This window comes from Homo sapiens, chromosome 12, assembly GCF_000001405.40.
Source record: "Homo sapiens chromosome 12, GRCh38.p14 Primary Assembly".
Taxonomy (NCBI): Eukaryota; Metazoa; Chordata; class Mammalia; order Primates; family Hominidae; genus Homo; species Homo sapiens.
The window spans coordinates 19,895,316-19,908,243 of record NC_000012.12 but is presented as its reverse complement, the minus strand read 5'-3'; the positions used below and the strand labels follow the sequence as shown (position 1 = coordinate 19,908,243).

The 12,928-nt window shown below is 36.8% G+C and overlaps 2 annotated features.

Moving 5' to 3' along the window:
* Positions 3,831-4,331: an enhancer, noted in NCBI's record as "H3K4me1 hESC enhancer chr12:20056847-20057347 (GRCh37/hg19 assembly coordinates)". NCBI's record gives its function as "activates a minimal SCP1, AML or CMV promoter by ChIP-STARR-seq in naive H9 embryonic stem cells {active_cell/tissue: H9 hESC(naive)}" and the evidence as "EXISTENCE:reporter gene assay evidence [ECO:0000049][PMID:30033119]".
* Positions 4,332-4,832: an enhancer, noted in NCBI's record as "H3K4me1 hESC enhancer chr12:20056346-20056846 (GRCh37/hg19 assembly coordinates)". NCBI's record gives its function as "activates a minimal SCP1, AML or CMV promoter by ChIP-STARR-seq in naive H9 embryonic stem cells {active_cell/tissue: H9 hESC(naive)}" and the evidence as "EXISTENCE:reporter gene assay evidence [ECO:0000049][PMID:30033119]".

Genomic DNA, 12,928 nt, shown 5'->3' with positions numbered 1-12,928 from the left:
CCAAATTTGAGACGAACAAGAATAGATACTGAAGGGAAGATTAGGAGGCTGGTGAAATACTCTAGACAGCAGTTAATCAGAACCTGAATTTAGGTATGTTGGTACCAATAGTAAGAGCAATAACAATAATAATAAAAACAACTTGGCTGGGCACGGTGGCTCGTGCCTGTAATCCCAGCACTTTGGGAGGCCGAGGCAGGCAGATCACAAGGTCAGGAGTTCAAGACCAGCCTGGCCAACATAGTGAAACCCCATCTCTACTAAAAATACAAAAAAATTAGCTGGGCATGGTGGCAGGCGCCTGTAATCCCAGCTACTTGGGAGGCTGAGGCAAGGAGAATCGCTTGAACCTAGCAGGTGGAGGCTGCAGTGAGCCAAGATCATGCCACTGCACTCCAGCCCAGGCAACAGTGCGAGACTCTGTCTCAAAAAAAAAAAAAAAAAAAAAAATTAACATATTGTGGCACCTGCTCTGTTCTAGACACCCTTTTAAGCAATTAACATGTATTAATTCATTTAACATTCACAAAAATCCTATACAGTAAGACCTATTACTATCCCCATTTTACAGATGAGAAAACTTAAGTAGAAAATGGTTAAATAACTTGCCTAAAAGTTATAGACCAAAACAGTAATAGAACAAGTAAGTGGTAAAACTGGGAATGAAGATGAAGGGAAGAAATTTAAGAGATATTTACATGAAAGTTTTTCAAGCAATAACTAAGGAAAAATTTGGTAACATTTTGTAAGTAGGAAAAGTTAAGAAAAGCCCGATTTCCAGCTTGTGCCTTGGGTAATTGGCTGTGGCAGTAATTGAGATAGGGTAATAGTGGGTAAGGAGCCAATAGGTCTATTGGGAAGTAGATGGATTCAGTTTGAGATTTTAAAAATTTGTTTATTTTTATAGATTCAGGGGGTACCTGTGCAAGTACATAAATATATTGAGGCACCTGTGGAATAACTAAATGAATAGTGAGCAGGAATTTGGAAAAGTAAGCGTAAATCTCAAAAGAGAGGTTTAAAACAGAAGTATAAAATCGCAAGGCACTGGCATATAAATGGTAATAAAAACCATGAAGAGTTTTCACAGGAAAGCTACATTTATTAATAGCCTAATTAGGAAAGGAAATTATCCAGATTTAGTAGGCATCTGTTTCTTCCCTAAGGACCCAGTAGTCCTCACAGTTCCAGATATGTTCTTAGGTCAGGTGAAAAATAAAAACTGAGGGGGTTTTATGGTCAAAGAGGAAGAATAAGTGCAGTATTTTAATTACTTATAGTTCTTAAAGAAAACTTCATCTTAATGCCGATATATAATTTAGAGTCAAACAACTAAAATATTTCAAGCAGTAGAGTTTGCTGAAATAATGAAGACTTTTTTTTTTTTTTTATATCTTAGTGACAGGGCCTTGTTCTGTTGCCCAGACTGGAGTGCAGTGGTGTGATCACAGCTCACTGCAGCTGTGAACTCTGGGCTCAAGCAATCCTCTCACCTCAGCCTCCCAAGTAGATGGGACTACAGGTATGTGCCAGCACACGTGGCTAATTAAAAAAAAAATACTTTTTTTGTAGAGACAGGGTCTTGCAATGTTGCTCAGGCTGATCTCGAATTCCTGGATTCTCCCAACTTGAGCCCCCAAAGTACTCAGATTACAGGCATGAGCCACCAAGCCTGGCCAAAGAGGAAATTCTTATTGTGGATTTATTTTAAAATAAAAAATTGGTGGGGAGAATTTTATTTTAAAGGTGTAAAATATTTAAGAATCATTATTTTTCTGAGAACTGCCAATCATCTAGTCAAAAGTGATAAAACTAAGTCACGGTAAGAAACGAAATATGTCCACATGCCACTGAAAATCCAATGTAAAATATTTTTTCTTAGGGAGTTTTTTTCTAGAGTATTTGACTTTGGATTCAGCTATAGAAATTATCTATAATATGTTGAAAACCAGAAGGTAGACATGTCCAGGTTAAGCAAGAATGGAAAACTAAATCAAAATAAAAAGAATGCCATTCCTCATTTGTCAAGGGACTGAAGTGATGTCTTAAGCATGTTCACTAATCCAAGGTCTCTGTCTCTCAGCCAGAGAAAAGATGGTACAGAAAAAGTAAAATAAAATTTTAGGGTATAATGATACATAAATCTACCAGCCTGCTTTATATTTACCAACTCATTTTGCAAAATCCTGTGGCTGCGAGATGCCTACATCTTGATGTCCCATTGCCAATCACCAAGCATAGATTAGATAGACACATGCATGCATACATACATACATATGGAGATAAACAGATAAATATCATAGATATAGATATGCTTTCTAACTACTTGTAAATGAGCTATGAATATAATACTGTCTCTGCCCTAGAGATACTCATAGCCTGGTTAAGGGAACAAGTGAGGTTCTGCTTATCTCTCTTCTTGATAACTATACATTTCCACTTTCTCTCTTTCTCCTCCTTTTTAACAAAAAAGGCAGTCATTGAACAACCAGTAATATGCCCAGCTCATACTCTTTCTTAATTTTTTTTTTGTTTTCTGTATTACTAAGAATTCAGTGACACTTCCTTGTGTTGCCTTCATAGCACTTATTGTTTAAATAATATATTTGGCCATTAATTGTTCATGATCTTGTGATTACCTGTATTACCTTCTTTTTATGTCATGTTCAGATTATATCATTTCTATATATCTGCTATCCCCAACTGGATTATAAATAGTTTGAAGTCTGTAATATTGTTTTATTCTTGCTTTTACCTCTCTATCACGCTAAAAAGAATTATTTGCACTCAGAAAACCTCTATAATTATTTCTTGATCAAACCATTTCGATGAATCAACATACTTGTTTCAAGAAAAGGTTCATTCATTCATTCACTCATTCAGCCAAAAATTACTCATCACCTACTCTATGTCAGCCATTACAGTGAAAATGTTGCAAGGAATTTTAAAAAGAACCTCGTGTCTTGGAGCTCATATATCAGAAGGGAGAGTGATGATAATTTAATACCCCAAGAGACAACATAATGTTGGATAGTTTTAAGAGCTCTGAAGAATAATAAGACAGGTTAAGGGAATAGAGAGTGGTCAGAATGATCAGGGAAGAGCTCTCTGAAGAGCTAACATGAACAGATGTCTACCTGCCCAGGAAAAGGGAGCATTAAATACAACGACCTGAGGGTGGAATGTCCTAATGAGTTTAAGACACAGCAGGCAAGCAGCATGTTTGGGTCAGGATGTGCTAAGGGAAGAGGGGTGACACAGGCTTGGAAAATGACTCCACAAATTCATATCTTGGACCTGATCCAGTCATTAAGTAGCCTGTGACTTGGGGCAATATTCTGACCTTAGAATCATCAGTATGGTTAATTTTAACCTTTCTTAATTCACAGATCTGATGATTATTAAAAAAAAGAATACATTAGTGCATTTTAAATAATTATAGAGGTTTATGACTATCATTTTAAATCCTCAATCTCTACTTTTTCCAGGGAGTTTTTCCAGGGAGTCCTCCTAGATAACCTCATTTTCTTTTCTTCTATAGTTTTCCTATAATAATACAACCTCGAATAGGCCTCAAATATTTAAAGTAAAATTAACAAAACAAAAAAATATAGATAAATCCAAAATTGTAGTGAGAAATTTTAACATGCTGTTCTCACTAACTCATAGGACAAGTGAAACAGGAAAAGTTCCCTTGTCTCCCTCACAGGGTGTGTGATGGGGGTGGGGGTCGCTTCTTCAGTGCCCCGCTGCTCAAACCTCTAGGGAAGCATACAGATGGGTAGGCTGTGGCTCCAACCCCAAGGCAGTGTCCAGGGGTGAATGTTTACAGCTGAGCGTGTTTATGAATGTTTACCCCAGTGCACGTGTGTTACACGGTGCCCTTTCAGTTTAGCTGTCAGTAGGTGGCTTGTGTTAACGAGCTCAAATAGACCCTCTACCTTGTTGCAAGGACAGAGGGCTTTCTGTATCCCAGGGTTCTTGCCTTGGTGTACCTCTTGTCTTGGGGTACCTAAAGAATTGGATGACACGTGAGCTTGGAGAATGAGTGCAAGGTTTTATTGAGTGGAAGTAGCTCTTAGCAGATGGGGGAGCCAGAAGAGAGATGGTTTTCCCCCAGAGTCAGGCTGCTTGATGGCCCGGGCTCTCCTCCAACTGCCCCAGCCATACTCCAAGTCATTCGGCCAGTCAGTGGCCTGCTTGCGTGCTGGTGCCTGTCACTGCATCCCCGTTAACGTCCAGCCACTTGTGTGTTCCTCTGCTGATTTGCCCCTCTCAACGTCCTGCTGCCTGTGTGTTCCCGCTGGGGTCTCGAGGTTTTTATAGGCACAGGATGGGGGCATGGCAGGCCAGGGTGATCTTGGGAAATGCAACACTTGGGGCAGGAATACAAAAATGTCTGTCCTCACTTAGGTCTGTGTTGGGCTGGGGGGGAGAGGCGGGCCTAGCCAGGGACCACACCCTCCTGTACCCAGCACTTCCCTTCAGCTCCCCCATCATTTAAAGGGACCACGCTCTTCCCTTCCCAGCACGTCCTTTCCGTATCATAAGGAGGCATAAAAATTAAAGAGATAGGCTGGGCGCGGTGGCGTACACCTGTAATCCCAGCACTTTGGGAAGCCGAGGCAGGCGGATCACGAGGTCAGGAAATCGAGACCATCCTGGATAACAGGGTGAAACCCCGACTCTACTAAAAATACAAAAAAATTAGCCGGGCATGGTGGCGGGCGCCTGTAGTCCCAGTTATTGGGGAGGCTGGGGCAAAAGAATGGCATGAAACTGGAAGGCGGAGCTTGCAGTGAGCTGAGATCTCGCCATTGCACCCCAGCCTGGGCGACAGAGCAAGACCCCGTATCAAAAGAAAAAAAATAATAATAATGATATAGAACAATAGAACGAAATTTACAAACTTGACTTAAGTTTGGACATATGTAACACTGTATCAATCTACTACAGAATATACATTCTTTATAAGTTCACATGGAACACTTAATTGACCATATGAGTGATAAAGTGAATATTAACAAATTTCCAAGAAAATCATACAGAGAAAGCTTTATGAACATAATATAATCTATAAATTAGTATTTTTAAAATATTAGAAAATTTCTCGAGTTAGAGCCATCTTACAAATCAGAAAAAGTTATAAATAAAAAAATTAAAATGCAAGATATCAAATTAAGAACATCTTATTTTAGAGAAACTTTAGTCTTTAAAGGCATACATTGAGAAACAATAAAAGCTAAAAAATTGAGCTAGGCAAGGCACGGTGGCTCACGCCTGTAATCCCAGCACTTTGGGAGGCTGAGGCAGGCGGATCACAAGGTCAGGAGATCGAGACCATCCTGGCTAACACGGTGAAACCCCATCTCTACTAAAAATACAAAATATTAGCCAGACATGGTGGCAGGCGCCTGTAGTCTCAGCACTGGGGAGGCTGAGGCAGGAGAATGGCGTGAACCCGGGAGGTGGAGCTTGCAGTGAGCCAAGATCAGGCCACTACACTCCAGCCTAGGCGACAGAATAAGACTCCGTCTCAAAAAAAAAAAAAAATTAGCTAAACATCCATTTCAGTAAATTAGATAAAGAACATCAAATTAAACCCCTAAAAAGTAGGGGCCGGGCATGGGGGCTCATGCCTGTAATCTCAGCACTTTGGGAGGCTGAGGCGGGTGAATCATGAGGTCAGGTGTTCGAAACCAACCTGGCCAACATGGTGAAAACCCGTCTCTACTAAAAATACAAAAAAATTAGCTGGGTGTACTGGCGGGCGCCTGTAATCCCAGCTACTTGGGAGGCTGAGGCAGGTGAATCGCTTGTACCCGGCAGACGGAGGTTGCAGTGAGCCGAGATCATGCTACTGCACTCCAGCCCAGGAGACAGAGTAAAACTCTGTCTCAAAAAAAAAAAAAAGTAGGAAAAAGACTAAGTATTAGTAGAGGAATTTATGAACTAGAAAGTATACACACAATAAAAAGAATCAATGCCAAATGTTACTTCTTTGAAAATAATAATAAAACCGATAAACTACTGGTAAACAAGTAAAAGAGAGAGAAGACACAACCATATTAAAAATGACAAAAGGAACAGCTTGTAGATATTAAAGAGGTTAAGGAATATTATGAACAGTTTATAACAATAAATATAAATTTAGGACAAATGGACAAATTCCCAGAAAAATATGACTCAAAAAGAAAGAGGAAATAGGATTTTACAACCATGAAAGAGACTGATTCAATAAAGAAGTCTTCCCACAACTAAACACCAGGCACAAATGGCTCCATTGGCTAGCTATCCAAATATAATTTATGCTCATTCTAAGAGGATGGCATAACTTTGATACCAAAACCCAAAGAAACAGTAAGAGAAAATTCAGATCAATCTAACTATAAACAAAGATGCAAAAACTCTTAACAAAATAGTAACAAAGTAAATCCAATAATATGTTTTTAAAATAGTACATTTTAACAAAGGAGAGTTTCTTCCAGGAATATAAGTTTAGTTTAACACGAGAATGACAATTTAATTCACTATACCATCATCTTATCTCAATGCACAAAATGTATGAATCTCGTTTGACAATATTCAATATTTATTAATGATAAAAGATATTTAGTAAAAATAGAAAACAATATTTTAATCTGGTAAAACAGGAATTGGCAAACTTTTTCTTGTTAAAGAGCCAAATAATAAATAACTTCAGCTTTGCAGGTCATATGATCTCTGTCACACTAAACAACTGTGCCATCATGGTGTGAAAACAGCCATAGACAATGTATACATGAAAGAGTGTGGCTGGGTTCTGTAAAACTTCTTTTACAAAAATAGGTGGCAGGCTGCATTTGGCCCATGAACCATACATAGATTGCCAACTCCTGGATTAGAGGGTATCTAAAAAACATGGTTTTTGGTACTTACAACAATTAATGATGAAATAATTTCCTTTGAGATAGGAACGAGACAAAATATCTACTGTTACAATGGTGATTCACATTGTTTTTGGGGTTCTAGTTAGTACAATAAGACAAGAAAAACAAATAAAAGGTATAAGGATTAAAAAAAGGGAATAAAGCTGTCATTATTTACAGAGGAAATAACTGCATTTATATAAAATCCAAAAAAACCTACAAATAGTTTTTTAATGAGGAAAACTTAGCATTGTTCCTGGATACAAAAATCAATATAAAAACTTATTTCTACAAACAATTATAAAATAAAATTAAAAGTGGTACTATTTACAATAGTATCAAAAATAAAAAGTACCTAAAAATAAATCAATGAGCATATATATAAGACTTCTATAGAGAAATTTATGCAACTAATTGAGAAACAGTAAAAAGGACCTAATAAATGGAAATTAAAAACATGTTCAGGGGTTGATAGCTCCCTATTATAGCGATGTCAATTCTTCCCAGCTGAATGGATTCAATTCAATTGCAAACAAAATTTCAATAGTCATTTTATAGAGTTTGACAAGCTGATTCTAAAATATACACAAAAGTTCTAAAGTCAAGAATAGCCAAAATACTTTTGAAGAAGTACAAGGTAAGGGAACTTGCTATAACAGATGTCAAGACTTATTTTAAAACTGAAGTAAATAAAACAGTGTGGTACTAGCCCAGTGACAGAGAGCTCAGAGTCAGGCCACATTGGTATGGGCATCTGTATATGACAGAAATACCAGAATCTATTAGTAAAGTCATGGCAGCTTTTGAAGTAAATGGTGCCAGGAAAATTGAATATCCATGTAGGGTAAAATAAAATCAGACCCTTAGTCACAAAATGTACTAAAGCCAATCAGATAAAGACCAATATTAAAACGGTAAAATTATAAGTATTTATAAAATAATAGAGAAACATATCTATATGACTTTAAGGTAGGGAAAGATTTCTTTCTTTCTTTCTTTCTTTCTTTCTTTCTTTCTTTCTTTTTTTTGAGACAGAGTTTCACTCTTGTTGCCCAAGCTGGAGTGCAATGGCACGATCTTGGTTCAGTGAAACCTCCGCCTCCTGGGTTCAAGCAATTCTCCTGCCTCAGCCTCCCAAGAAGCTGGGATTACAGGTGCGTGCCACCACACTTAGCTAATTTTTTGTATTTTTAGTAGAAATGGGGTTTCACTATGTTAGCCAGGCTGGTCTTGAACTCCTGACCTCAGGTGATCTGCCTGCCTCGGCCTCCCAAAGTGCTGGGATTACAGGCATGAGCCACCACGCTCAGCCAAGATTTCTTAAATAAGGTGCAAACAAAATTATTCATGAAGGAGTGATTGATACATTTTTTATGTAACGTTAAGGACATCTTCTTATCTAAAGAACTATAAAGAAAAAAATTACAAAAAAGAGAGAAAGATATTTGCAATGGACAAACAAAAAACTGGTAACTGGAATATTAAAATCATTTCTATAAATAAATTTTTAAAAGATAATACAGAAGAAAAATGGGCAAAATTGTAACTAGGCAAAATAACAAAAAAAACTAAATGACAAATAAATGTACAAAATGTTGCTCAATTTCATTAGTAATAAGGGACATGCAAATTTCCACAATCATTATATATTCATCAGGCTAACAGAAATTTTAAAAATTTAACTATACTAAGTGCTGGTAAGAATGTGGCAATGGGAAATCCCATATATTGCTGGAAAACCATTTGACATTTTTTGGTAAAATTGAAGATTTGCATTCCTTCCACTTAACAATTTCATGTCTAGAGAAATTAGTATAAATGCACACTCGAATACAAGTACAAGGACAGTCACAGCTGGAAACAAGCCAAATGTCTTCCAATGGTAGGACAGATATAAATGTGGTGTAGTCATACAATGAAATACTATACAGCAATGAAAATAAACTTTATGCTATAGCATATATGACTGTGAATATGTCTCATAAATGTAATACTGAGATACAGTTGGTAGGCAAAAAGAAATATATGAGGCCATTCAAGCAGAGTTTCTTTTTTAAAGAAACAACTAAACTAAAATGCAGTTTTTAGAGATGGATATGAGGGATTAGTGCTCCCTACTTTTCTTTACAGTTTTATGAGAAAAGACCACAGAATGGATATCTCTAGGTCAAAGAGATGAGGTTGTGATGAGAGAGGGACAAACATGGTTGAGGACTTCCTGGGAGCTGGCTACATTGTATTTCTTGACCTCAATGGTGATTGTACAGTGTTTACCACATAATTATTTGTCCACATGACAAGTATTTGTTTTATACATTTTTCTACATACATATTATATTTCATAATAAAGAAAAAACAATAGAAAACAAAGTAATATATTTTCTAGGTTCTTCTTCACTGAAATCTTGAGTTTTCATTCTGTTCTACCAAATAGCTATCGTGCAATTTCTTATATTTTATAGGTTATATTTTCCCATTTAAATGCATTCCCTGTATTATTGAACTTTGTTCCCTGAAGAATATAAGACCTCTCATCATGTTTAGCTGTATTGTAACAATCTGAATTTATATTTAAAAATGCGTAATATGTGGAATGGCAGTCTTCTCCAATGCCCACCTCCAAAGCTAGTTAATATGAAAATCTGACCTGACATAGAAAACACAACAATAACATGAATATGCAAAGGATATATCGGGTTTTTTTCTATCTACCAACAGATGAATCTATGTAAGTGGCAAGGCCACTTTTGTACATATATGACGTAGATTCCAAATATACGTAAAGGCTTAGAGCAATCTAACAAAATTGAATACCCAAAAGATGTTATCCTTGCACATAGTTTTCCAAACTTTCACCAAAAATATTATTCTACAGAAGATATAAGAAACCTTAGGGTTTCAAATTAATGGCTTTAAGTGCTGGATTTTTGTCCATTTTTAGAAAATATCAGTCCCACGCATTCTATAAAAGGCAATTATACTCAATCCCATAGTATCATCTCAACCCCATACATTAAAAAATGAAAATGAAAAATGACATTAATGGACACACTAAAAAACGTTGCAGTAGTAACACTTTTAAAATACAGTTATCATGTAGCTATATTAGTCTGACATTACCCTGTGCCTAGAATCTGTCTTCTCAATTCTATTTTGAGACTTTTGGTCATTTCTCTGATAGCAATGCCAATAAAGCTGCCAGTTACCATTAATCTCAGTTCTATGAAAGAATAAATCATTCTCACAAGCAATTAAACAATAAACACATTAAAATAAGACCAATTAGAGCTAAGACTAGACATTTACCACATAGTTATAACACAGGCTTGTCATAATCATTTCAGCTTTAACTGGACACTTCTTCAATAATTCTTTCTAACAGAAGCAAGATAAGATTTTGCTGTGGGAGTACCCAAATTCAGTAGAGTTTAAATTGAAATACTTAATCAGGAATTTCAATCATATGTCTGCAAGACTTTCCTTTGTACATTAATTTGTATGCCCACGATTTGTCCTATGCTTTGTTTGCCAATAGTTTACCATGTGCAGCATGCTCTGAAGTTTGTAACTGTGCCAGCTCTCTTTCACATTTCCAATCTTTTAATAAATTGCTTTGCAAAGACAATGAAAGCTCACAGTCAGTGGCCACATGTAATTTTTTTCCTTTAGGTAGTCTTCATTATATAGACAACTGGTTTCAAGTTGTTTTAATAACTTGGCCCTTTGTGGGTATCAAAATGTCTAAGTTCTTCTTCTTGAATTCCTTAGGCAGTCTTTACAAATGTATCAGTAAGTTATTGCTTCATATGTAACTTTGTAATACTATAAATATATGAATAAACGTAGGCAATTTTCAGAGGAACTATAAATAAATCCTTAATTTCTCAAGATTTTATTGTTGCCCAGTTATATATGCCATATTTTATCACCAAAAAAATACTCATTGATCCTCCTAAGGAAATAGGGAAATAGTGTAGCTCTTTATTGAATGGCTTGTGGGCAACAGCAAATTCCAATTTTTTCCACTCACTAATAGAGAAACTGCTTCTCATTAATCTAGCAAAAGGAGAGAGAAGCTGTAAATACAGACAGAGAACTCCAGTTTTGTTAAGAGATTAGGGTTTGGGAGAGGAAATTTGATGAGGCAAAGGGAGCTCTCACTGAAAATTCAAACAAAAACAAAAATGCTTAGGTGTAGCAAGTGCATCTGGGAATTATGAAATGCCAGGGCCAGGAATGGTGGCTCACACCTATAATCTCAACACTTTGGGAGGCAAATGCAAGAAGATTGCTTAAAGCCAGGAGTTCAAGACCAGCCTTGGCAACATCTCTACAAAAATAAAGAGCCAGATGTCATGGCATGCACGTCACAGCTACTGGAGGCTGAGGTAAGAGGCGTGCTTGAACCCAGGAGCCAAGTCTGCAGTGAGTTATGATCGCACCACTGCACTCAAGCCTGAATGACAGAGTGAGGCCCTGTCTCTGGGGAGGACGAGGAGGAGGAGGAGAAGAAGAAGAAGGAAGAAGAAGGAAGAAGGAGAAGGAAGGAGGAGGAAGGAGGAGGAAGAAGGAGGAAGAAGGAGGAAGGAGGAGAAAGGAAGAAGGAAGAAGGAAAGAAGAAGGAAGAAGGAGGAAGAAGGAAGAAGAAGAGGAGGAGGAGGAGGAACAGGAAGAAGAAAAAAGAGGAGGAGGAAGAGGAGGAGGGAAGAAGAAGGAAGAAGAAGAAAGAAGAGGAGGAAGGAGGAAATAAATGCCACGTTTTGATGTACTGCCATTAATAAGATATTTTTCAATAAAAGTGATTACAATGAAGAAAAGTTTTGAGAATTTGCCCTGTGTATAGTGCCAGTGAAGCAGCTTGAGAGAGCAGAGGGGTCTTATACAGGTACAGAGAGAGACCAAGGAGAGACCCCACTCCAATCAGGGTTGAGCCAAAACACCAAACAGGTGCCTTATACAAGTCAGCCTTAGTAACTTAAAAGTACACTACCCAACATTTCCATAGCAACCACACAAGTTGCTAATGGATCAGTGGTGCCTAATTTGGATCCCTGAATGTGCATCAGAAGGTTCACAAACAACTTAAATTGTAAGCAAAATACCATATGTGTGACACATATATATAACAATTTTCTAGGGAGATAATCTATAGCATATGTAAACGCATTTTTAAAATATATACTACCTAGCATAATGTTAAACATATTTGAGGTTTATGCCTCATTTAGTTCTGGATCCCATCAGAATAACCTGTACCTATGCAGACAGAAGAAAATATTTCATTAGGGTTATGTAACTAAACATTTCAAGGCTTTTCCTTTTATCTTTAAAAAAAAGTTTGAGTAGATTTTTTTTCATCTAACCATATCAAGTACTATAAACAATATACTGTAAAAATAACTAAGGAAACTATGTCTTCTTGAATTGTGATTTTGCCAACACAAAGAAATAGCTCATATTTTCATCTGTCATTGCTGGCTGGTTATGAGAATTAAAAGCAAGAATGTAATGAGAGGAACATGAACTTTTAACAATGATTGAATCACACTCTAGCCTTGCTCCAAGTCTGCTGTCACCAGCAAGATCTTGTTATGACAGTTTAAAATGTCTTTTCTGATAGCAGCGTTTGAGGGATTAATTTAAGATGAAATCTATACTTGCATGTACATGTAATGGGGGGGTAGTATGGGAGGTTAATAAATGTATATTTCTCATGGACTTTAAAAGAGAAGGACAAATTGTTTCTACTAAGCGAAAAAAACCAGATAAGAGAAAATATATGTGACATGAGTATTCAAAAATAACTCAATCCACTCTTGAAAATTAGTCTAGGTCTGCTAAAGCAATTCCTAAAAGAAATGAAGTCTGACTAAAATATCTTAGCCTACAGTCAAAGGAAAAATTCACTAGAAATAAAAAATATAACTTGGCACCATAATACTTCATATGTCTATGCCCCTAGGAATAAAAGAAGCTGGGAAAATGTGTGTAAAAATATTCTAAGCTCTGCTATTTTTCAG